This window comes from Homo sapiens, chromosome 17 (assembly GCF_000001405.40).
Source record: "Homo sapiens chromosome 17, GRCh38.p14 Primary Assembly".
NCBI lineage: Eukaryota > Metazoa > Chordata > Mammalia > Primates > Hominidae > Homo > Homo sapiens.
Window position 1 is genome coordinate 69,291,447 of NC_000017.11, and position 27,723 is coordinate 69,319,169.

Below are 27,723 nucleotides of genomic sequence, written 5' to 3' on the forward strand. Positions count from 1 at the left end.
CCAGCATATTTGATAGCAGGTAAAACAGCTTCTTTGTTACAGTCAACGATATAAACAGTAATGAAAGTAAATAAAAATAAACTTTATTTGTTCATACAGTAAGATTTAAGAGTATACAAAATATTTGGGAATTTTCTGTGTCCCAATTTTTGGGAATTACCAATGGAACCAATGGAATTAAACAAAAATTTGTTCCCAAGGATATTTATAGGCATTTAAATAAACTGGCAAAAAAACAAGAAATTAACCAATAGCATAGAAATGGCTTGAAAGGTTAGATTTAATGAAGCAATATCACTGAATGGATATGTAAAGGAATGAAGGAAGACAGGAGATGGGGACCTGAAATGATGAAGCAGAAATGGCTTATCAAAAAACTAGGCTGGCCAGGCACAGTGGCTCGTGCCTGTAATCCCAACACTTTGGGAGGCTGAGGTGGGAGGATCACTTGGGCCCAGGAGTTCGAGACTAGCCTGGGCAACATGGCGAAATCCCGTCTCTACAAAAAATATAAAAATTAGCTGGGCATGGTGGCACCTGTAGTCCCAGCTACTCGGAAGGCTGAGGTGGGAGAATCACCTGAGCTTGGGAAGTCAGGGCTATGATAAGCCAAGACTGTGCCACTGTCCTCCAGCCTGGGGGACAGAGCAAGACCCTGTCTCAAAAACAAACAAACAACAACAAAAACTAGACTAAGAAGGCTAACATATAAAACAAGAAGGAAAAAGTCTCAGATCCTAACGCCAATAATCTAAGTTAAAATAAGAAAGGGAACTCAACAACTAAACGTTAAGTGTTCTGCCCCATGAACGTGGTATTTCTATTTATTTAAATCTTCTTTAATTTCTCTCAGCAATGTTTTGGACTTATCAGGATATGTCTTTTACATTTTTGTCTTATTTACCTGTAAGCATATTTTTTGATGCTAAATGCTATTTTTAATTTTAATTTCCAATTATGTGTTGGTAACATATAGAAATACAATTGATTTTTCCATTATTTATCATGTATCCTATCATCTTGCAAAACTCACTGTTTAGTTCCACTATTATTTTTTGTCAATCTAAAAGATTTTAAAAATAGATTATTGTGTCAACTGCAAATAATTTTACTGCATCCTTTCCAATCTGGATGCCTTTTATTTCATTCTCTTGCTTCTTTGCATTAGAAACAATTAGTTGTAATTGTTATTACAATTATAATTATACTTAACTAGTTGTACCAATAACTTACATTGGAGGTTATATATAATCTCCAATGTTGAATAAAAAGACGTGAAAAGCACTGTAACCATAAAAGAACAGATTCATAAATTGGACTTCATTCAAATTAAGACTTGTGTTTGTCAAAAGACACTGCTAGTAGAATTAAAAGGCAAGCCTCAGACTGAGATCAAATATTTAAATACCTGTATCTAACAAAGGTCTTGAAACAAAAATGTGAAAAGAACTTGAATAGGCATTTCATAAAGGAAAACCTCCAAATGCCAATAATCATATAAAAAGGTGATTAATAACATTAGTTATTAGGCAAATGCAAACTAAAACCCTATTAGTATACCACTATACCTACTTTCTTCTTAATAAATTAATTTGCCTCCTAGAAGACATTTGGTAAAGACTGGAGACATTTTTGGTTGTTACAACTGGGAGAGGATGTTTAGCAGTGTGCCAGGGATGTTTAGCAGCGTGTCAGTCAGTCTCCAGAACCAACAGAATACACACACACACACACACAATGGAGCAAGTATGAGTGTGGGGTTGGGGGATTAGGGAAGGTTTATTTTAAGAAATTGCTTCAGAAGATTGTGGGGTCTAGTAAGTCCCAAAAATCTGTAGGGCAGGTTGAAAACTCAGGCAAGAGTTAAAGTTGCCATCTTGGGTCCAAAATTCATAGGCTGACAGGCTGGAAACTCACGCAAGAATCTGTTTCATTCTTGAGGCAGAACTCCTTCTCTCTTTGGTGATCAAAGCCAGGGATGCTGCTTGTGAAGGTTAATTTTATGGGTCCCCCTGGCTAGGCTATGGTGCCGTTATTTGGTCAAATACTGATGTAGAAGTTGCTGTAGATGTCATTAACTTTTATAATCATCTGAGTTAAACTTGATTAGTCTTGATAATAATGGTAAACCTTATCCAATCAGTTGAAGGCCTTAAGAGAAAAAACAGGTTCCTTGGAAGAGTCCTGCCTCAAGAATGTAACAGACTCCTACATGAGTGTGCAGCCTGTCAGCCTGTCTACAAATTTTGAGCTCAAGACTGAAACTTCAACACTTGCCTGAGTTTCCAACCTGCCTTACAGATTTCTACATTTACCAGGGCCCACTATCTCATGAAGTAATTACTTAAAACAAACCTCCCCTAATCCCCCACCCTACAATCATACTGGTGTGTGTGTGTGTGTGTGTGTGTGTGTGTGTGTGTGTGCGTGTGTGTGTGTTTGTGTGTGTGTGTATTCTATTGGTTCTGGGGACTGACTAACACATTGACACAATGCTAAACATTCTACATTAAAGAACAGTTCTTCACAACAAAGAATTATCAGGACCAAAATGTCAGTAGTGCTGAGGTTGAAAAACCCTACGATAGGCCAAATGAATTTTTCAAAAAGTAACTAACATGTATTGCATATACATGCAAAATAATAAACTGAAACAAGGACATAGCCTTATTCAAATAATTGAGTATTTTTCATTTTAATAGATACTACATTTTACTTTTACAAATGTCATGTTGTTAGTTTTATTTTGAATATTAATCACATAAACGAAAGTATCTCAAAAAAGCAAGACAGGGGCTGGGCGCAGTGGCTCATGCCTGTAATTCCAGCACTTTAGGAGGCTGAGGCGGGCGAACCACCTGAGGTCAGGAGTTTGAGACCAGCCTGGCCAACTTGGTGAAACCCCGTCTCCACAAAAATACAAAAATTAGCTGGGCATGGTGGCGTACACCTGTAATCCCACCTACTCAGGAGGCTAAGGCAGGCGAATCACTTGAACCCAGAAGGCGCAGGTTGCAGTGAGCCAAGAGAACGCCACTGCACTATAACCTGGGTGACAGAGCGAGACTCCATCTCAAAAAAAATAAAATAAAATAAAAGCAAGACAGAAAATCATGGTAGAGAAGTTTAAATTTCCCACAAGCTATGCAAATTATTTTTCTAGTTGTACTTTAAATACTATGGCCTGAATACTAGGAAAACTACTTACTTCTCAAAGCCTCCACATTTTCACCCTTCTTTCTGTATGTCTTCTGAATACCACTAATTCTGAAATATAAAGTTTTATATTTTAAGTATTTAAAGCAATTTATAAGTATGTGTGTTTATTTACCATGCATATTTTTATCAATGCTATCACATTTTATAAGAATAATAAAATAATAATAAAGTACTTTCCTACTAAAACAATGAACCAAATAATGTTGATAATGAAAATACAATTGACACTTGAAAACACAGGTTAGGAGTGCCAACTGCCACACATAGTTGAAAATACACATATAACATTTTTAATCCCCTAAAACTAATCTATTAATAGCCTACTATTGATAAGAAGTCTTGCAGATAACATAAACCGTTGTTTAGCATATATTTTGTAGGTTTTACATGTTAAACACTGTATTTTTATGAAGTACACTAAAGAAAATGTTAAGAAATTATAAGGAAAAAATATATATTTACATTATTATACTGTATTTATCAATGCCGTCAGTTCACATCATCTATTTATAAGATGAACAAGATGCACAGTCTATCTGAAATGACAGGTAACCGCACCCACAGACCTCAATCTATGGTACATACAAGCAATTCAACTTTTTCTTATAATGTCATGACCTTTCTCTGCTTCTTGAGAGCACTTCCAGCATCACTAGTGGCAATTCCTATGGATCCCATGATGCTATTCAAGGCTTACGGTATTGCACTACACATAATAAAAAATAAGCAAGAACCCTGAGACATTACTTTTTATCATGATATGCAATTTACTGGAGAGATGAACAGCTCACAAGGAGATAATTGAGTCACATGGCATTCGAAGTATATGCTTGGAACACACAAGCTCACCATAACAGCAAAAGAAGGTGCTACAAAATTATTGCAGTGGTACAGTAATACTGTAGTTAATATTATGCAGCTATGATTTAATACTGCATCTTCACATTTGTTTACATTTCTCTCAACTGGGCATTGGCATAATGTAGGTCTGTCAATATTGTGTACATTAAGCTTTGATAAAGCATAACTTACTATAATCTGTGTATATTTTATGGTAGCAAATGTTAAAATAGACTAATATCTATAAATATTTTATGCATTCATGACATACCTAACATTTGTTTTTGGTATTTCTAGGCTAACAGTTCATCTGCGAGTTTTTTCAAATTGTTACAAATCTCCAAAAAAATTTTCAATATATTTACTGAAAAAAATCCACATATAAGTGAACTGGTGTAGTTCAAACTTGTATTTTTCAGGGATCAACTATAAAATTATTTTAAAGAAGGTACAAGAGAAAAGCATAGTATTCCTTTCCATTGTAAGCGTCATTGATTCATTTTTCATGCCAACCCAACTTCTAAAACTAAGTGAAGAATCTGATTTAAGCAATTTATGGATTTTTTTTCATTTCTGATTATCAAACACTTGTTACATCAGTGAAGGGGGATATAAACCAGATGTCATTTCATGTCAGCACAAATTTCAAACCATTAACAAATGTGAAGTGATTTTCTTATTCTACCTTATTTTTTTCATATTTTTTTAAGGAAATGATTTGTTAATCAGTTAAAATTTACCGTTAAGAAAGCAGGCCACTGGCCAATGAATTACATCTTAAGTATTTTGACTTTCTCTGGAATTTTTACATTTTTCTTAAATTTAAAAAATATTATGCTTCACTTTTTTATTTCATTTTATTTTATTTCTTTTCTTTCACCTAATTTTATTTCTAAATTTGGTACTGACTGACCTAACAAGGAATCGTAATGAATTTCTTTGGTTCTTAAAAATTAAAGTAATGAAATGTTCTAATTATGCCTCAAACCCTAAAAATCTATGAAATTAACAGATGACAATTTAATATGCTGTATAAAACAATGTAGCATGAACAAAATTATATAGTTAATATTTATCATGTTTCAGTCTACATAATGGGAAAAGCTTTAAACATTAATTGTATAAACATCAGGTTTTATTACTTTTAAAATTTTCCATCCAAACATAAAATTTCAGGGGACAGGTGTGGTGGCTTACGCCTGTAATCCCAGCACTTTGGGAGGCCGAGGCAGGTGGATCACCTGAGGCTACGAATTCGAGACCAGTCTGGCCAACATGGTGAAACCCTGTCTCTACTAAAAATACAAAAATTAGCCAGGCATGGTGGCGCATGCCTGTAGACTCAACTACTTGAGAGGTTGAGGCACAAGAATTGTTTGAATCTGGGAGGTGGAGGTTACAGTGAGCCGAGATTGTGCCACTGTGCTCCAGGCTGGGCGACAGAGCGAGATTCTGTCTCAAAAAACAGAAAGAAAGAAACATAAAATTTCAAACCTAGCACCAACTTTATTCTAAATGGTTGCAAAGAAAATAAGAAAAAGAGAAAAGTAGCCCTTATTAATGTTTTAAAATCATGGCATATGTACCAAATCTAATATACCATATTTACATACATATTTAAAGAATAGGATTTAAATGTTTCATCAGCAGTTCTTATACCTAAATTGCCAAAGATTGAACCATACCTTATGGCTTCTTTTCCTACAAATTCTGAAGAAACTGGCTCAATAATTTCACTAAAACTAATATTTCCATTAACATTGCCCTCTGATAACTCCTCATAATTTCTTTTGCTCTTTGACCAATATGAAGGCTTCAGAAAATATAAAGATGATCTCCGTAAGCCAAATTCCCCTGAAAAATAAACATTAAAAAACTGAGTTACCATAATTAGTTTTTAAATCATAAAGACAGCATTTCAAACATATGACAACCTGCATCTAAAGTTTAGGTACCATTCCGCAACATATATATATTTCCAAACATCATGTTGTACACAATAAATATATACAATTTTCATTTGTCATTGAAAAGTAATAAGTAAATAAAGATTAGCTGTATTGTATTAAATCAATATTGTATGAATCAAAGTTTTATTGATAAATAATTCTAGTCCATAAATAGTTTCAGAATTGCTGAGTGGGAGGTAAAGGTGAATAAAGCACATCTTCTATGCTAAAGGAACTAATGCCTTTATGAGTACAAGTAGATAGCAAATGGCAAGAACACAACACAGGCTGAATGTGTTGAAGACTTGAATGGGCACCATCTTAAATGATCTTTGAAAATAGGTAGTAACTAGAAAAGTGGATATGCTTCATGGAAAAGACTACAGAATTATGGAGAGCAACAAAACAACAGGATAGAAATATGAGACTTAGAAATGGTATACAATGAGGCCAGGCATGGTGGCTCTCACCTATAATCCCAACACTTTGGAAGGCAGAGGCTGGCATATTGCTTGAGCCCAGGAGTTTGAGACCAGCCTGGGCAATATGGCAAAACCTTGTCTCTGCAAAAAATACAAAAAATTAGTCAGATGCGGTGGTGCATGCCTGTAGTCCCAGCTACCTGGGAGGCTGAGGCAAGGGGATCACTTGAGCCCAGGAGGCTGAGCCTGCAGTGAGCTGTGATCGTGCCACTGCACTCCAGCTTGGAAGACACAGCAAAACCCTGTCTCAAAAAAGACACAGCAAAACCCTGTCGGAAGGAAGGAAGGTAGGTAGGAAGGAAGGAAGGAAGGAAGGAAGGAAGGAAGGAAGGAAGGAAGGAAGGAAGGGAGGGAGGGGAAAGAGAAAGAAAGAGAGAGAGAGGAAGGAAGGAAGGAAGGAAGGAAGGAAGGAAAGAAGGAAAGAAAGGGCATACAGTGGTAACTGCCCAGACAACATGTTCCATTTTCTCCCTTTTCCCTCTCAAAATACCTACACTCCTCATTTTTTTCAAATATCTACTCTTCTTTTAGATTGGCCACATTTCAAAGGGATCTGATGCCAAGTACAGAGGATTCCAATTGATTTTATCAGTACTTGGCATTCCTCTGGGAACTGTTACTGCTCCAACAGCAAGCAAACAAAAACATAAATGTAGGGAAAGGACACCCTATTTAACAAATGGTGCTGGGATAATTGGCAAGCCACACGTAGAAGAATGAAACTGGATCCTCATCTCTCACCCTATACAAAAATCAACTCAAGATAGATAAAAGACTTAAATCTAAGACCTGAAACCATAAAAATTTGAGACGATAACATCAGAAAAAAGGCAAAGACTTCATGACCAAGAAGCCAAAAGCAAATGCAACAAAAACAAAGATAGATAGGACTTAATTAAACCAAAAAGCTTCTCCATAGCAAAAGAAATAATCAGCAGTTGACAGATAACCCACAGAGTGGGAGAAGGTCTTCACTATATATATATGTTGACAAAGGACTAACATCTAGAATCTATGAGTCACTCAAATCAGCAAGAACAAAACGAACAATCCCATCAAAAAGTACGCTAAGAACATGAATAGATAACTCTAATAAGATATACAAATGGCCAAGAAACATGAAAAAATGCTCAACATCACTAATGATCAGGGAAATTCAGATCAAAACCACAATGTGATACCACCTTACTCCTACGAGAATGGCCATTATCGAAACATCAAAAAATAATAGATGTTGGCATGGATGTGGTGAAAAGGGAACACTTTTCCACTGTTGGTGGGAATGTAAACTAGTAAAGCCACTATGGAAAGCAGTGTGGAGATTCCTTAAAGAACTAAGGTAAGTCTACCGATTGATCCAGCAATCCCACTCCTGGGCATCTACCCAGAGGAAAAGAAGTCATTATGTGAAAAATATACTTCCCCACACATGTTGATAACAGTATAATTAATTCACAATTACAAAAATATGGAACCAACCTAAATGCCCATCCCAACAACTGGATAAAGAAAATGTGATACACACACACACACATACACACACACACACACACACACACACACAAAGGAATCCTACTCATCCATAAAAAGGAACAAAATAATGCCATTTGCAGCAACCTGGATGGAAATGGAGACCATTATTCTAAGTAAAGTAACTCAGGAATAGAAAACCAAATATTGTATGTTCTCACTCATAAGTGGGAGCTAAGCTATGAGGACACAAAGACATAAGAACGATACAATGGATTATGGGGGCTCAGGGAAAAGGTGGGAGGGGGGTGAGGGATAAAAGAATACACACTGGGTACAGTGTACATTGCTAGGGTGACAGGTGCACCAATATCTCAGAAATTAACACTAAAGGACTTATTCATGTAACCAAACACCACCTGTTCCCCAAAAATCTATTAAAAAATAATAAAACCTCAAAAAAAGGGGTGAAGTGCTCAGACAGACTTGAGGTATGTAACTAGATGAGAGATACTGCAATGGTCTAGACTAGTGGTCCCCAGCCTTTTTGGCACCAGGGACTGGTTTTGTGATAGAAAATTTTTCCACAGACAGGGAGCAAGGATAGTTTCAGGATGATTCAAATGCATTACATTTATTGTGAATTTTATTTCTATTATTATTACATTGTAATATATAATGAAACAATTATACAACTCACTATAAGGTAGAATCAGTGGGAGCCCTGAGCTTGTTTTTCTGCAACTAGGCGGTCCCATCTGGGGGTGATGGGAGACAGTGACAGATCATCAGGCATTAGATTCTCATAAGAAGCATGCAACCTAGATCCTTCACATGCGCGGTTCGCAATAGGGTTCATACTCCTATGAGAATTGAATGCTGCCACTGATCTGACAGGAGGTGGAGCTCAGGTGGTAATGCAAGCAATGAGGAGCAGCTGTGAATACAGATGAAGCTTCACTCACATGCCTCCTACTGTGCAGCCCAGTTCCTCACAGGCAGCTAGTAAGATCTGTGTCCTGGGGGTTGGGAACCTCTAGTCTAGACTAGTATTACACAATACAACTTTTATAATGGTCAAAATGTTCTACAGAACATCTAGATTGCACCATGCAATTTAGTAACTAACAGCCATATATGGCTACTGAGCACTTGGAATGTGGCCTGTGCTACTGAAAAAAATAAATTGTTAATTGATTTAATTGTAATCAATTTAAATTTTAAAAGCCACACATGGCTAGTAGTTACCATACAGGACAGTACAGGTGTAGAATACAGACACAGGTAATGAGGAATACAAGTGGAAAAGGAAATATGCTCAATACTTAATATTACTATTGAATCTACAGGAGTTTGCTATATTGGCTATAGATGTGGACAGGAGATAAAGAAAATGGTAGGAGTTACAAGATCACTTCATAGTTTTAGACCTTAGAGGGTAAAATAAAATACTTCAATTAAAAAAGACTGATATAAAGAAGGACCAAGGTAAGATCAACTAGAGACTTAAGGCTTTCAAAACTGCTCTCTTTTTACACGATCTCTTTATGTTCACTAGTGGCTATAGCCTAAGGTACAAAATATACTTATTTAAAGTCAAATTAAAAGCTTTAACAATGAATATGACTTAGGGTACCCTGGTTAGGAAAAAAAATCTTAAAATTAAGCTGACCCTATGTGGGCAAAAAAGCCTAAAAATCTTTAAAGTAAAATTCAAAAACCATCTGCATACCTGGAATGACTTGATCAAGATAGACAGCCAAGAGGACATAGAATATACTATTAAGTGTGAGCATGATAATTGTAATAATTAGAGGATATGGGCCTGCAGTCAAATTTGAAAATGAAGCACCTTCATTAAAATCTTCTAAATGCATGACCTGAAAAATACAAACACTAACTTTATTACATAAAAATGACAAAAACAAGCAAAAGCTAACACTACTTAAGAGTTATTTAGCATATCCAGAGTGATAGTAACCAACTGGGCCTTTTAATAGATTAAACACTTGACCAAATTAATAATATAAATTTATAAGGAAAACAATAAAGACTTTACAAAAATGTAAGTTTATCAAACCAATTCCTTTCAATCATGTTTTTAATGTTGTGCTTCTTTAACTGGGATATATTCACTCTAGGGGCATTTAATTCCAATGTAATTACTAACAAATGAAATAAAAACAAACTGCAATATTAATAATAACAAATGCAAACAAAAGGGTTATGATCCATATGAAAGCCAAACAAATTAAGTATTAGGGAATAAAATTAGGTTAGCATCTTTCCAATAGAGAAAAGCAAGTATTTTGATTAATTAACACAATTATTAAAGTATTCATAGTAGATATTTGTGATAGCATGGAAAGAGAAATGTACTGGAGGTTGAAGCCTCATTTAGGTCCTAGCCCTGCCATTAAGTGAATACGCTTTAATTATACTATTCTAGGCTTCAGTCCTCTCATTTATAAAATGAAGAAGATAAATTCAATGACACTGAAAGGCCATCCCACTCACAACAAAAACCTATGAATCTATAATTCTTCGTTCCTAGAGAACGCGGACTCGGGGACTCAATGAACTCTCAAAATGTATAACAATCATTCTCAGGTCTCAAAAAAGTAAAATGATTAACTCAATATTTAATTATATCTCATAAATCAGAACTTCTATCCAACCAACATGAGTAATTTCTTATATTTAGTAATTACATTTTTTTCTTTGTACATTAGCCAAATTCATGTTCCACTACAAAGCCATTTCTTATAAGACTTCTTCCATTTAGAACCTAACTACTCCTGTAAGGACTAATAAAAATAATATTTGTAAGTCTGAATGTTATTTTGAATGACAATTCCATGAAGCCTGGGCCAACAAAATCCACCAGGCCTACTTATTCCACCACTACACTCACGGTAAATTTGTTCTGCTCCACACACAATTTTCTCCCATGCATTCTTCTGAGATAAATGTACAAATGATAGCAATATAACCAGGCCATAGGCAATAAGAATTACTTGACATTTAAACACATTACTATCAAACTGAGTTTCTGCAGTGAAATAAATCACTGAGATACACTGAAGTAAAAAGTAAAAAATTTATAAACAGAACATTTAACTAAAAACTTAAAATTGGACAAACATAAATAAAACTAGATATAAAATATACTCTAGAAATCATTTCTTCCTCATGCTAAAATTTTAAAATAATTTTTTTGGTAAATCAAAGGTAGTATTCATGGTAGTATAAGAAGCTACATAAAACAGAAAGAAAATATTTAGTGAATGCAAGATTAATATATTACCTACCTGTGCAATACCAATCACAAAAGTACAGTGACAGAAAGGACTGAAAAGCCACACTAACGATTTGGGAAAACTTTCTATGAGGATTATCATAAGGCCAATAAATCCAAAAGCCACAGTAACAAAAAATTCAACTATTCCCACATGTTTTGATTTTTTAAAAAGAGGTGTCAGCATTAAAGCAAAAAATACCTATAAAATACAAATATTAAGGTTAGTGCAATGTTCATATATACCAGTATGAAAACAAAATTAAAGTTTGCTTCTGAAAGAACAAGCTATTTTCATGAAAAATGCATTCATAAAAATACAACTATAATTTCTAAATGCTATGGTATTTTATTTTCAAACAAATAGTGATATACCTTTTAAAAATTTAAACTAACAAATATTTTTGTGTTTTTGTTTTGATTTTGTTTTTGAGACAGGGTCTTGTTCTGTCACCCTAGCTGAAGTGCAGTGGTGCCATCTTGGCTCACTGCAACCTCCACCTCCTGGGTTCAGGTGATCCTCCCACCTCAGCCTCCCGTGTAGCTGGGATTACAGGCGTGGGGCACCACGTCCAGCATTTTAGTATTTTTTTTGTAGAGACAGGGTTTCACCATGTTGCCCAGGCTGGTCTCAAACTCCTTGCCTCAAGCAATCTTCTTGCCTTGCCTCCCAAAGTGCTGGGATTACGGGTGTGAGCCACCACATCTGGTCTTAAACTAACAAATATTAAATACTGTATTTTTATCTGTATCATAGGTAAACATGACCACCTCTACATTACAGAAACCATAAATAGCCATGTGTTTCTGCAGTAAGATGCATAAAATATGTGAAAAAATAATAAATCAACAAAAATTTTAAGTACAAGACCCATATTTTAAACTTAATTTATTCATAAGATAAAAAAAACAGTTTAAAAAGAAAAAAAAAACCAGAAGGCCTGCTGCAGTGGCTCGCTCATGTAATCCCAGCACTTTGGGAGGCCAAGGCAAGTGGATCACTTGAGCCCAGGAGTTCAAGACCAAACTTGGACACTTAGGAAGACCTCGACTCTAAAAAAAAAAAAAAAAAAAAAAAAAAATATATATATATATATATATATACATACATATATATATATGTATATATATATATACATACATATATATATGTATATATATATATACATATATACATACACACACACAAAAATTAGCAAGGTGTGATGGCACACACCTGTAGTCCCAGCTACTCAGGAGGCTGAGGTTGAAGGATTGAGCCTGGGAGGTCAAGGCTGCAGTGAGCCATGAGTGTGCCACTGCACTCCAGCCTGGGCCACAGAGCAAGACCCTGTCTCAAAAAAGTAAAATTAAACATTTAAAAAAAAACCAGGCAATTACATATGGAAGTATGTTAGTTATTTGCAATTTATTATTTTAAAGAGCAGAAATGATAGCCAAAACATTTAACAACTGATACAGGGTGGGCACATAAACCAATCAGAATGGAAGATGGAACCACTTAAAACAAAGGCTGGTCATTAAAACCTCTCATTCAGCCAATATATCAAATGAATATCAAGACTGCTAAAGAGTTACATTTGCAAAGATGTATCTTTAAAAATCATCATCCTGGAGCATAAATTAACTTGAAAGAGTAAGGATTCCATGAAGACAAACAAAAATAGTCCAATACTTGACAGTCTTAATTATATACATCATTATATAAAGACAACAGATAGAGGAGTTGTATGTGAAATACATCATATGACAAAAGCTAAATCTAAATCTAAAACTATTTTGTAACATTACTAAAAATACAGGAATACAGTGATGCCACATCATTTATTTATTAAGTCACTTATCAATTAGTAAAATCTGTCTTTCATGGCAAATTGACTATAAGTAAACTGAAGAAAAAGACTTTGCTATGTTATCAAACATTTTGACAGTTCTTTATTCCTATCACAAGTTAAAATACTTACAGATGATAATCCATAAAGGAAAAAAAGCAGAAATATCACAATGCTGCTACTTTGAGGAAATAACAAAGAAGCTGTCGCAATGACTGCCATAAGAAGGGACATAAGAAAAATTAAACTTGTATATAGAAGAACCCAGGAAAGCCTAAAATGAGAATACAGATATAGTTATGGTCAAATGCATAGGCTTAACCAGTTAAAAAATCATTTTAAACAAAATTTTTAGATTTTAGCCATTTTATTCTTAAAATTAAGTCACTGTTCATTTCTGTGTATGCTTATGTACTAAAAATTAATAGTCTTGTAAGTAATTAAAAATAGTATTGGTTAAGTGATAGGTAAAAGTGTAATCTGATAAAAAATACTATCTTCCAGAGTTAAAAAAGCTTTCAAAATGAATAGTAATTCATAATTAATTTAAATCTAATATTCTCAAAAGTTCAATAGCACACAATGTCTCTGATTTTCTTAAAATGTAGGAGTTTAATGAGTCAAGATAACAATTTTCTTTATGGCATGTGCTACAATTAAACCTCTGATGGCTTCTGTAACTATAAACAATAAAGGCTACCTTACCTCACTAATCAATGACATAATTACTACAATTACACAATGTGAAATCAACAAGATCAGTAATGAATTCACTATTTTTGCTCAAGACTTCTTTACAAATCAGAGCTCAATGGAATTGCTGCAGTATTAAGTTTTATTTTACATATTTTTCCAAGTTAGCTCAGGATTTAATGATGTCATGAAATCACTGAGTTAAGGCTAAAAAGGTAGCGAAATTATCAAAATTGAATCCATCATTTTACTGAGGCAAAACTGAGACCCTGAGAGAATGATTTGCCTAAATTCTTCCAGCTACCGGTTCTCCATAAAATACTTTAATAACCCAATAAATTTTAAAAACCAATCCTTTGGCCAGGCACAGTGGCTCATGCCTGTAATCCCAGCACTTTGGGAGGCCAAGATGAGAGGATCACTTGAGGCCAAGACTTTGAGACCAGCCTGCACAACATGGCGAGACCCCCGTCCCTACAAAAAAATTGAAAATTAGTTGGGCATGACAGCATGCACCTGTAGTCCCAACTACTTGAGAGACTGAGATGGGAGAATCTCTTGAGCCTGGGAGTTTGAGGCCACAGTGACCCATGATCATGCCACTATACTCCAGCCTAGGTGACAGAGCAAGACCCTGTCTCAAAAAATAATCCAAAACCAATAATTTCTAAAATAACAAATGAAAGAAAAACAAGCAAAGGAAATATGTTATATACAATAATTCCATTATGTAAAGTGTTAATGATTAATTGTTACATTGGGCTAATTGGAATAAAATTTTGTAAAACAGACTATAACAGCTCACATGCACAGTATTAACCTTCCCCCCAGAATGAACTTCATTACATAGTGAAAAGAGTAAGGAAACTACACTTAGATTTATAAAAATGCATGCCTTTGTAAAATTATCACTGTACAAAAATGCTGATACATTAAAGGTCACTAGTGAAAACATGGTTTTCTCATTTCTTTCTCTAAAATTATTTCCATATTCATCTTAATTCACCCAAATAACTAAAACTTTCGAGGGAAAAAAAGTCCATATACCACATATACAGACTTTAATCACTATAACTAAATTTTTAATATTATATATATGCTATATTATGGAAGAACTGTAACAAGCAATTAATTTCTAATGTTCCAAGATTTCACATTTCCTGAACTCTGAAATACACAGAAATATACGTGGAGTATATTGAAATACACTGAAATATACACGGAGTGTGCCCATGATTCAAATAAAATGTGAAATAAAATTTAAACACGTATTGTCAACACAAGCTTTGACATTCTTCATCCCTTATGTTAAATGAAGCCAATTAGTTGTTGAAACTTCTTGACTAATCTCAAATTCCAAGACTAAGGCAATCATTGTAAGAAAACAGGATAAGCACATCATCAAGTTAGGTAAATATCAAAATTACAATTTTGAAAATCTGTATATTTAATACAATTTTTAATTATATTAAGTAATAAATTTTTAATAACATACCAAAAGGCAGTATCATGAAGTCCCATTATCTTTAAAAATTCTTTTATTTTTTTTTCTTTTTCTGCTACGATATGAATTGCCAAAAAGTATCCAAAAGGTGAAAATGCTATAACTAGGTATATTAAAATTACTCCTCGGGGAAAGGTATCTATTTCTACAACAGCAGTTTCTCCCATAATAACAGCTTTAGTTGACTCCAGCTCCTTCCAAAGAGAAACATTGGTCTTCAACTATAATTAGAAAATGTAAATACATCAAATTAATTTAGTTATGATAGCAGCCCCTAGTAAAACGGGACAGCTATATCCCTAAATTTGGTCAGTAACCTAGTACAAATACAATCCTCAAAAAGCTCCATACCTGAAATAAAGTGAGTGACCCCAATATCATAATTCTGAGTAGAATATTGCATTCAATTTATTCTAAAAGTATACCATAAAGTTTAAAGTTTAAAGTCAGTAAGTGTATAAATTTTGATTAAATAATTTGTCAAATAAAATAAAATTGCACAATTATCATCTTAAGCAGACAATTATATGTATCTTAGTAAAAATATACATCTTCAAAATTTAGGAATTTAGGAGTGATTATTAGTGCCATCATTCCTATGATTGTTTAAAAAATGTTCTTCTAAATACCATGCCCTTCTACTGCTTTAAAGTCTATATATTTAGCACATATAGACCAAATAATAAAACTATTTATGCCACATAATACTTCTAACATTCCAATTAATGCCTAAATTGAAATCTATCCTGCCTATTCATCCAGTGTGGTCTGTGCTGTGGATGGCTAAAAACTTTGGCCAAAATACAAATAGGTGATACAACATCATCAATGTAATAGATCCGTATTTCACTATCTTTACCTTAAATTTCTGTATTATTGAATTTGTGCAATATTACACGTCCCTAATATGTTTATACTGTACTACAAAAGTTTACAAGACAATTATACATAAATCATCTCATTTGGTTCTTACGACAATGCTGTCAAGTAAAGTACTATTATAATAGTCATTTTACTACATAGCAGTGTAACAACAGAGACAAGACTCCTGTTCAGATTTTGATTCCAGCTCCATCATTATTCATACATACTTTAAACGTATTGTTTAGCAGACAAGATGGTTGATATACATTTTGAAATTACAATATTTTGTAGCATAGTAAATTTTGTAGCATAGTAAATTCAATTAGAAAGGGCAAATGGAAAAAAAAGCCACAGATCCATACAGAACATGGAAGAATGAAATATGGTTAATTTGAATAGTTTGAATTCTAAGGTAACTTCATCTACTGTTATCTAGCCCAGACACAAAAGTAAGATTTTTAAAAATAAATTTCATGGCCAGTTTTTCTGCTAAAATATGAAACACAACAAAAAGTACCAAATCAGAAAATATGACTTTTTTATCTTTTTTCTCAAAGGAGTTGTAGTAGGTTACATATTTTGTACATTTGACAGTAGTCAAACCAAATACTATTGTAAAGAATAAGGAAATATTTATTTTAAAATGGCATAGTTTTTGTATTTCTTCCTTTATCATATTTACCTGTATAATGGCAGCATCTATGGATGCTTGTAAAACTGTGAAACCTGAGGACCAGTACTGAGCAGCCTCACATGATTTTGAACAGCCAGCTATGGGGGGAAGAATATGAGATCTAAGATTCTGTACAACATGCAAGTGCATCGTTTTAAAGATATTATATGGAGAGATACCTACCAAAACAATATAATCAATCAATCTTTACAGGACCAAAGAAATAAGCTACTGACTTTCAAAGGTAAACAATACTTACAAGATTTCTGATCATTTACTTGAAATTTTGAAATAAAAGTTATATGTGTTAGAATACTAAATAGTAAATGAATAAAAATGTAAAGAAAGAAATTAATTGTAGTTATTTAAAACAAGTTACTTTTTTGTTTTAAAGTAAATCATTCTACATGACTTAGCTCTAAAGCACTTCCAGAAGCAAGGAAAAGTCAAAGTTAAGCAAACAGGAAAAAAGAATTTTCAGAAGGGCTTTTTGAAATAAAGTCACAAATTCAGTATTTAGCATAGTGACTTTAACATTGCTCAATAAATGTTTGTGGTTGATAATATTTCTTCATAGATTTAAACAACCAAAGGTTGTTTCCCATGTTTCAAATATAAAACTAATCAAGTTCACTAGTAGAAGACCTCAAGATTTTAAAGATTTGTACATACCACAAGTAAAAACAATTACATGAAAAAAAGAGATTTAGAAAGTCATATAACCCAAAATGCAATTTTGCTTTATGCTACTGTATTTAATATATATAAATGTATTAAATCAAAATGGGTATATATAAAAATGTTTTATGTGTAGAAGTAGATAGGTATTTATAAATAAATATTTTTATGCTATACTTCTCAGTTTTCCTATTGGAACAAGTAAGAATAGTTGAAAATGCCAATATTGAACTATATAAAATTTTGACTATGAACTGCAAGCAGCAAAGATATGCATTTAATTGATCTTCAATGATTATGTAGGGCTATTTACCTCTTGAATCCATATAAATAGAAGATACTGGAATCATATCAGGAAAAAAACGAAGTTCATAGGACATGGAGTCTTTGAAAACCACACCTACAAAGTTGCTCGGCTTAGAGAGACTGGATGTTAACATTTCTTTTTCATTTGTATATTCTTCAGTAATTATGACTGTAAGATATCATAACAATATAGTTAGCTCACAAATTAAAATACCACAATACAGTAGATCAAGTTTACAATTATTTTGATGAATGGAATATTTTATAAACACTTTTGCTATATTTACTTCTTAAAAAATGAAAACAGTCCAAGCACAGTGGCTCACACCTGTAATCCCAACATTTTGGAAGACCAAGATGGGAGGATTGCTTGAGCTCAGAAGTTCAAGTCCAACCTGGGCAACATGGTGAGGTTCTGTCTCCAAAAAATAAAAAAATTAGCCAGGTGTAGTGATGTGTGCCTGCACTTCCAGCTACTTGGGAGGCGGAGGTGGGAGGATCATTTGAGCTAGGAGGTCGAGGCTGCAGTGAGCCATAACTGAGCAACTGCACTCCAGCTTAGGCAACAGAGTGAGACCATGTCTCAAAAAAAACAAACAAACAAAAAGAAGACAATTCTTCCAACAAAATAATAATAATAAAATGGTACAATGTTGCAGACACTACTCAGCTGTCATTTGATTACAGAAATGTGTCAGTGTTATACTTATGTTATAAATATATGAAATATAGTATAAAACAATATGCAGAACTCATATTTCTTCAAGAAATTGCTGTTTCTCAAAACCTCAATTAATTATACTAATTTCAGGCAGCAATAAAATTATAAAAATTATTAGTAATGCAGTTCATTTATCTATCTCGAAGTTAAACTAAAAAATAACTTCGTTATTTTATTTTATATTTTTTTAGAGACAGGGCTTTGTTCTGTTACCCAGCCTGCAGTGCACTGGATCTTGCACTCAAACTTCAGGGGTCAAGAGATCCTCCCACCTCAGCTTCTGGAGTAGAGCTTGGTCGATAGTCACTCATCACCATGCCTGGCTAATTTTTTGTTTTTAATTTTGGTAGAAATGAGGTGTCACTACATTACCCAAGCTGGTCTTGAACTCCTGGCCTCAAGTGATCCTCCCACCTGAGCCTCCGGACTAGTTGGGATTACAGGCATGAGCCAGTGCACCTGCACAAAAATAACTTTTTAGTAAATATATGAATTTTTTATTTTTAAATATTTCTTATAAAGAAAATTCCACAATCCTTCTCAGAAACTAAATAGGCATTTTAGTAACTATGACACAACTCCTCCTTAAATAAAAATTGTCATTCAAATCCAATATTGCTTGTTCCTTTCTTAGAAGATAAGTGGAAAAAATACTGTAATCATTCTTTCTCATCAGATAAGACTAATTTTTAAATATTTTCTTGTAGTTTTGTTTACAAGCAACTAATTTTCACTACAGAAGCTTCAAACATGTGGTGAAATGGAAAGAATATAGAATTAGTACTTAACGTCTTCATGTATTAACTGTGTGAGCACAGACAGGCGATTTGAACTCTTCAGACTTTAGTGTCCTCATCTACAATGCCTAGCTGATGACACTGGGTTGTTGTGAAGAACAAGTGAAGTAACAAACATCAAAACGCTTTGTAGGCTGGATGTGGTGCCTCACACCTATAATGCCAGCACTTTGGAAGGTGGAGGCAGGTAGATTGCTTGAGTCCAGGAGTAGATTGCTTGAGACCAGCCTAGGTAGCATGGCGAAACCCTGTCTCTACAAAAAATACAAAAATTAGCCAGGTGTGGTGGTGTGCACCTGTAGTCCCAGCTACTCAGGAGGCTGAAGCGGGAGTATCACTTGAGCCCAGGAGGCAGAGGCTGCAGTGAGCTGAGATCACAGCACTGCAAACCAGCTTGACAGTGAGATCCCATCTCAAACAAAAGAAGAAAAAGACAAAAAAAAAATGCTTCATAGATTCTAAAGTATTACTTAAATGTTAATTAATAGATTTTCCAGGCCTTTTAAGAGGGACAGGGAACTCCAGGATTTACATGAATAAAGAGGGTGTTAGTTCAACATCCTACCAGTCATGTTATGTATGTATGCATAACCCATTTTCAGATAGTTCTGTTGTTAAAAATACAGAAGTCTAAAAAAATTTGTGTATATGTATACACTATTTTGGCATCTAATACACACTGACTTAGTTGTTTTTTGTTTGTTTGTTCTTTTTTTGTTTTGTTTTTTGTTTTTGAGATATTGAGTGTTGCTCTGTCGCCAGGCTTGAGTGCAGTGGTACAATCTCAGCTCACTGCAACCTCCGCCTCCCGGGTTCAAGCAATTCTCCTGCCTCAACCTCCCAAGTAGCTGGGACTACAGGCACCCACCACCATGGCTGGATAATTTTTTTGTATTTTTAGTAGAGACAGGGTTTCACCATGTTGGCCAGTCTGGTCTCAAACCCCTGACCTCAGGTGATCTGCTCACCTCGGCCTCCCAAAGTGCTGGGATTACAGGCGTGAGTCACCATGCCTGGCCTCATATTTCTTTGGTTTATATTCTTTCCTCCTACTCAGAATTACCAATGAATTTCATTTCAACATTTTTAATCAGCTTTTTGAGCTTGTACACTAAATTCTCATGGTAATCTATACTACTTGTACCTAATATGATACACTACCATATAACAAGAAGTGTATTTAATCAAAATATTAAATAGAAATAGCCAGAGAAAGAAACCAATGGAATAAAAGTTACCTGGCTTCTGACTGTATAATTAACACTTTCCATTCAATGACATAAAATCCAATAATGCGATGACATATAAGCTAATTACAACTATCCCATATGGCAAAAAATAACATGCTAATCTGTCATTTTCTACAATTTAGCACTTCCTTGTTTAATCATTAATAGCATAAGAATTTCTGTCACTTTCTCCAGCTTTTGCTTTAGGTTCTCTCACAGCCACTTTAAGTTCAGTGGCACTTCACTGCTTACACTGTTTTCTAGTTCATTTCTTTGTGAGAAGTGCACATTGAGAAAAAAGACTTAGGTGGCACTTTAGGTGGAGGCCAAGGGAGGAAGATCATTTGATCCCAGGAGTTTAGACCAACCTGGGCAACATAGCAAGATCCCATCTCTACAAAAAATATATATATAAATAAATAAAACAGAGTTAGGGACTTAGCCATAGTCATAGTTGTAGTCTCCAAAGTTAGGTACTTCTTCAGTTTACACCATACACTTCTATAAACAAGCATGGTAAGCTGAAAAGGTGACTGCTTTACAGTCTTTATCACATATTTCTAGCTTCCTTTTTAAATTTTTTATTGTTATAGATGGGGGTCCCATTCTGTTGCCCAGAGTAAGGAGTGCTGGAATGAAGTGGCATGATCATAGTTCACTGCAGCCCCAAACTTTTGGGCTCACGGGATCCCCCCACCTCAACTTCTTGAGTAGCTGGGACTACAGGCACATGCTACCACATTCAGCTAAACATTGCTAGCTTCATAATTATATGAAAGTCAGAATCAAAATGAAATAGCCCATCAAAGCTTGTATCTTATACAAGTATACTTAAACTATTTTATAAATGGTCTAAGAATTAAATATAAAAGTACATAAAATATGCTTCCTACCACCAAGAATATAAATTAATGTTTCACAAGAAAAATAAGGCAACAGAATTAAATAATTTTAGTATTTTTATAAAACTGACTTTGGTGGAGGAACACATCTCTAAGTGTTAAGACTGCTATTCATTCAATAAAGCAAGCTGATAAATATTGAAAAGGCTTAATATTATAAACAGAATATATATATAAGCTCACAATACCATCAGGTAGATGATCAGTAGACACTTTCTGCATGATGCTGCTTGTAATATTAGTCACTGGAGTATATCCAAGAATTAGATTAGAAAGAGTAAACTTGTCCATAGGATTGAGTTCTATATTAGGCACTTCTTCATATTTCTTATTTGGATGCATCATGCTAATTAATATTAACCAAAATAAAAAAAATAGTGGAAAAAGAATTTCCTACAATAAAAGAAACAAAGTAATTACAAAGTATAACAATGGCAGCAAAAATCATCAAGATTTCTTGGCAAATAATATAATACTAAGAAAAAACAGGAAATTTGGTTGTCCTTTCTTATGAATAAAATAAAAGCAATTCTATCCCAAAAGAATTTTGTGTTGAACACCTCATCCAACCCAACATGCATATTATTTTTTCCTTTGTATTTAGTTTTACTGAAATATTTTAAAATTCAAGTCACAAAATAAATTAAGGTGACATAAAAGATAATATTTAAACATCTTAGATTATTGACATAAAACATAATAAATTTACTCATATAATTTTATCTAAAGCAATTTACCGAACATCCCTATATGGATTCACCATAAAAATGCCTTTATTCAATTCTGAATTAGAAATCATACTTTAATTATACCTAAATGTATACTACCAAAACCATACTGAATTAAATTCTACGGTCAGTTTTAGTAGAAATGAGCTATTATATCATCTTGCTGTTTAATTGTTTTACCAGTTTCAGGGAAGATGAATAATATGTTTTCATCCTTTGAAATTATTACTAGCTGGTTACCCAAGTTCTTCCTTTCTTTTACCCTTATCAAAAGTAATGTATGCTGTGGGTACAAATCTGTGTCATAATATTAATACTCATGGGCAACTCAATCTAGAGTCCATAAAATACGAGGTTGTGGGATATAAAACTCTGGAATCAAAGTTATTGTGGAATGTTAGTTCATGAAACTTAGGAAACACATGCCTAAAAGCTGAAAATGAAGCACAGATGTTAGAAATTAACTAAATGTAGAAATTATTATTAAAATTTTTAACATTTAGAAAGCATTAAGTAATTCAGTTATTTTTCTGTGGCTAACATGGCAAGCTTTTACTTTACAAGCAAAGAAAAATAAAATTATAATAAAAATATATTTAGCAAAATAAATCATCACTTCAAGATAGAATATATCAAGCAAAATAAACTGCAAAAAAGCATAAGAAAGAGTTATTTAACTTACCTGAACACTACTCTTTTTGGTTCTGCATTTAATTAAGTAATTCTTCAGTAGAAGTGTTCTGGTCTGTCTCCAAACTCCTACCTCCCTAATTGCAGTGGACATGTTTTCTGAATAAACCTATTAAAGAGGAAAAACAAACAAACAAACCCGGAGCCACGCAGTAAACTGCATGTAATTTTTAACGGCAAAATAAGCAGCTGTTTCAGTCCCAGGTAAGATGGATTAAGCATACTCCAAGCTGTCTCTCTTAGGAAACTGGACAGAATGCATGGAGCAGCAATCTGTCAGCTCTGAAAAGTAAACAAGGCATGTGAAATAGGGTAGACCAGAATTTGAAATACCACCATATCAACAGTGGTACTTTTTCTCCTTTGGTATCTCCCGAACCGCCCACAGAGGCAGCTCCAGAAGAAGCCTTAGCTTTGAATTGAGGAATGGGCAAGGGAAGTCTTAATGCTCAGGGAGAATGTAGAAATAGCAAATCTTTTTTTCTTTTCTGAATTCTCCTGTATCCCCACATGCAAGCAATCCCATGGTAACAGGGCCAGACTACAGTAACAAAAGCCTAGTGCAGCCAACACTCTGAGGCAGGAAAACCTTTCTCTCTATTCAATGGAACTATCGTTGTAAGAGGATGAGGCCAATCCCTTTTGCTTTTCTTCTCTACCTCCTACCATTGGGCCCTGGATATGGTGGTTGCAGCTGCACAAGTGTGTAACACAATGGAGAAAATAAACACTAGCTCTCTGGCTGGAGGATAGAAACAGCAGCCACAGGGAAGCAAAAAGTAGAAGGGGGAACAAATAGAAAGAGAGCTCAGGAAAGCACTCTAAAAAGTTGTTTTTAATTCCTGTAATAATTCCCAAGCTGGACATACATAAATCCAATCCTATTAGTGTGACAAAGGCTTGAGAAACTGAACTAACAGACAGACCACTGTCCAAATCCAGACTGTTCACTGCAAGGCACACACAAGACAGACCAAAAAGGTACTGCAAAAGTTTTTGAAAAATAAACTAAAATGACAACTACAGTTCAAAGAATGTGGGTAGAAACTTATGACCTGAACCTAACCTGGTTGACAGCCTGCTAAGAGAAAATATCAACATTTTCTGTAGGTATTAACACAAAACCCAAAGTCTCATACAATCCAATATTACACTGCAAATGAAGCATGTAGAAAATAGCTGACCGGGTGCGGTGGCTCACGCCTGTAATCCCAGCACTTTGGGAGGCCAAGGTGGGCAGATCACGAAGTCAGGAGTTTGAGACCAGCCTGACCAACATGGTGAAACCCTGTCTCTACTAAAAATATAAAAATTAGCTGGGTGTGGTGGCACACACCTGTAATCCCAGCTACTCAGGAGGCTGAGGCAGGAGATCTGCTTGAACCCGGGAGGCGGAGGTTGCAGTGAGCCAAGATTGCACCGCTTCACACCAGCCTGGGTGACAGAGCAAGGATCCGCCTCAAAAAAAAAAAAAAATAGCAACTCTACTAAGAAAATAAAATCAAAGATACCAATGCTGAAATAACACAGACTTTGAAATTATCTGATAAAACTTTTAAAGCAGCTATTTAAGGGCTTCAGCAAACAATCGAAAGTACTCTTGAAAGCAATGAAAAATAGAAAATCTTAGCAAAGAAACAAGACATTAAGCAGAATCAAATGGAAATTTTAGAACACAAAAACACAATAAGAAATAAATACAAATGGAAACTTTAGAACAGAAAAACACAATAATAAATAAAACTCATGGAGTGGCTCAAAATCAGAATGAACACAACAGAAAAAAAGTCAGGAAACTTGAAGATTATCAATAGGCATTATCCAATCTGAACAACAGAGAGAAAAAAGATTTTTAAAAAATTAACAGTGCTTCAGAAAACTGTGAGACAGTCTGGGCACACTGGCTTACGCCCATAATCCCAACACTTTGGGAGGCCAAGGCAGACAGATCACCTGAGGTCAGGAGTTCAAGACCAGCCTGGCCAACATGGTAAAACCCCATCTCTACTAAAAATACAAAAATTAGCCAGGTGTGGTGGTGGGCGCCTGTAATCCCAGCTACTGGGGAGGCAAAAGAATCGCTTGAACCCAGTAGGAGGAGGTTGCAGTGAGCCCAGATTGTTCCACTGCACCCCAACCTGGGTGACAAAGTGAGGCCCTGTCTCAAAGAAAAAAAAAAAGAAGAAAAAAGAAAACTATAGGACAATAACAAAAAGTCTAACTTTCATATTATCAGATTTATAAAAGGAGAGGAGAAAGAGTATTAATGCTAAAAAAAAAAAAAAAAAATTAAAGACTTAATGGCTGAAAACTTCCAATTTAGCAAGGGATATAAACACATAAGTTTCAAGAAAGTTGGTGAAGCCCAGAAAACATAAAGAAAATCCATGCCTATACACATTATAATTAGACTGCTGAAAATTAAGACAACAAAAAATCTTGAAAGCAGTCAGAGAACAATGATGTATTACCTACAGAGAGTAACAATTTGAATGAGAGCAGACTTCTCATAAGAAACTGCGGAGAAAGTGGAATACATTACTGGCGGGAAAGCAAATGGTTCAGATGCTGAGAAAAACAGTTTTACTATATGACCTCACAATTCCACTCCTAGGTATACACCCAAAAGAAATGAACATAAGGACTCAATTGAGTACATGTTCACACACGTTCACAGTAGTGCTATTCAGAATAGCAGAAAGGTAGAAACAGCCCAAATACTTACCGACAGATAAATGAACAAACTGTGGCATATACATACAATTATTATTCAGCCATAGAAAGGAATGAAGTGGCTAGGTGCAGTGGCTCATGCCTGTATTCCCAGCACTTTGGGAAGCCAAGGCGGGTGGATCACTTGAGGTCAGGGGTTTGAGACCAGCTTGGCCAACATGGCAAAACCCCGTCTCTACTAAAAAAAAATATACAAAAATTAGCTGGGCATGGTGGTACGTTCCTGTAACTCCAGCTACTCAGGAAGCCGAGGCAGAATTGCTTAAATCTGGGAGGCAGAGGTTGCAGTGAGCTGAGATTGCACCACTGCATTCCAGCCTGGGCATCAGAGCAAGACTCTGTCTCAAAAAAAAAAAAAAAAAAAAAAAGGAATGAAGTACTGCTATATGCTACAATTAAAATGAACATACAAAACGTTATGTCAAGTGAAAGTCAGACTAAAAATGTCAAATGTTATATGATTCCCTTTATAGGAAACTTCCAGAAAAGATAAATGTAGGGACAGAATGCCAACTGGTGATTGTCAGAGGCCAGGGAGAGTAAAGAATGAGGAGAAACTGCTTACAAGGTAAGGAGTTTTACCTTGGAAATAAATTTTACCTTAATAAATTACTTCAAAAAATAACATTGAATGATCTAAATCATTGTACCTATCACAGGTCCAGTATCCCTCTTCCAGGGTACATTTACCCTTTGAAGATCCTTGAAATCCTTTCTGCCTGTGGACCTCTATTGGAGCTATCTCGATTCTTCAGAGGTTTCATTCCAGCTGAACTCAAAATAGAAGTGGTCAGAGTCTCAACTGCAATGTCCACTGCCCCTATTCAAATACACTCAACCCAGTAACCTAGGATCTCTGCATACTAAGAAGTATTGAGAAGATAGCAGGGGAAATAACAACAACAACAAAAAAATCCTGTTAAACCTTCCAGAGAAATTGCTGTGCCCTTGTTTTAAATAAACCTATCTAGTGAGGCCACTGCTATAACTCTCCTCCAAAACAAGGACCATCTGTTGCAAGCTGGAAGACTGTCTACACCTAAATAAAGAAAACTCACAATTTTTTTTTTTTTTTGAGATGGAGTCTCACTCTTTTGTCCAGGCTGGAGTGCAATGGCACAGTCTCGGCTCCTGGGTTCAAGCAATTCTCCAACCTCAGCCTCCCAAGTAACTGGGATTACAGGCGCCTGCCACCATGCTCAGCTAATTTTTGTATTTTTAGTAGAGATGGGATTTCACCATGTTGGTCAGACTGGTCTCAAACTTCTGACCTCAGGTGATCCATCTGCCTTTGCCTCCCAAAGTGCTGGGATTACAGGAGTGAGCCACCGTGCCTGGTCCATAATTTTTGAGAGGCAGTTTGTCTTTTCCAGTAAATATATATAATTAAAGTTTGGCTTAAATGAGCATCTTCTTTATATGCACAGAAGGAAGACTGGAAAGAACTGTTTAAATTAGCAATGGAATTAAAGACAACTTTTATTTTCTTCATGCTTTTTTTCTATGTATTACTTACATAGTAAAAAAAAAGCAATTAAACAATTAGACATACTGTAAAAATACTAAATGAGTAAATTAAAAACAGCAAAACAAAAGCAGTCAAGAATAGAAGATACATTAAAATAAATTCTTCCAGCATTCCATTCCAAGGCATCTGTGAACCTGTGGAGTAGACACCATGAGCAAAGCTTACACTCCCGAGTTGAAAAAATTGATGGACAAAAAGTTATCATTGAAAATTAAATGGTGGCAGACATGTCCAAGGAATATTGTGGGGATTTGATCCCTTTATGAATCTTGTGATAGATTAATGTGTGGAGATGGCAACTAGTGGGCAACAGAACAATATTGGAATGGTGGTAATGCGATGTAATGGCATCATCATGTTAGAAGCCTTGGAACAAGTATAAATAATGGCTGTTCAGCAGAAAAACCCATGTCTCCCTCTCAAAAGGGCCTGTTTTACTATGATGTAAAAATTAAGTCATGTATATTTTCATATTAGACTCTGTTAAATAAACTTCTGTAATGGTCAATAAATAAATTCTTCTAACAGTCTCAACTATGTTATATCACATTTAGCAAAGAGTTGATAATAGGAGGGAAGGAAGGAAG

At 34.8% G+C, this 27,723-nt stretch overlaps 1 protein-coding gene and 1 pseudogene across 2 annotated transcripts in view; one reads left to right on the forward strand and one right to left on the reverse strand.

Annotated features, from left to right (window-relative positions):
• The window catches only part of ABCA5 (ATP binding cassette subfamily A member 5), an 82,823-nt gene that overhangs the window by 47,136 nt on the left and 7,964 nt on the right, over positions 1-27,723 (reverse strand). The window contains exons 2-11 of one of the 2 annotated variants that reach the window (NM_172232.4): positions 22,868-22,984; positions 21,646-21,850; positions 17,816-17,977; positions 16,834-16,922; positions 15,279-15,508; positions 13,223-13,364; positions 11,272-11,460; positions 9,693-9,840; positions 5,745-5,913; positions 3,209-3,267 (exon numbers count right to left, since the gene is read on the reverse strand). In NM_172232.4, coding sequence (NP_758424.1) covers positions 3,209-3,267; positions 5,745-5,913; positions 9,693-9,840; positions 11,272-11,460; positions 13,223-13,364; positions 15,279-15,508; positions 16,834-16,922; positions 17,816-17,977; positions 21,646-21,850; positions 22,868-22,969 — 1,495 coding nt within the window. In that variant the 5' untranslated portion in view covers positions 22,970-22,984. Of the gene's footprint in view, positions 1-3,208; positions 3,268-5,744; positions 5,914-9,692; positions 9,841-11,271; positions 11,461-13,222; positions 13,365-15,278; positions 15,509-16,833; positions 16,923-17,815; positions 17,978-21,645; positions 21,851-22,867; positions 24,188-27,723 lie in introns of those variants that run through there. The other variant, NM_018672.5, reaches the window with a different exon arrangement.
• On the forward strand, positions 27,244-27,681 carry SNRPGP4 (small nuclear ribonucleoprotein polypeptide G pseudogene 4; annotated as a pseudogene).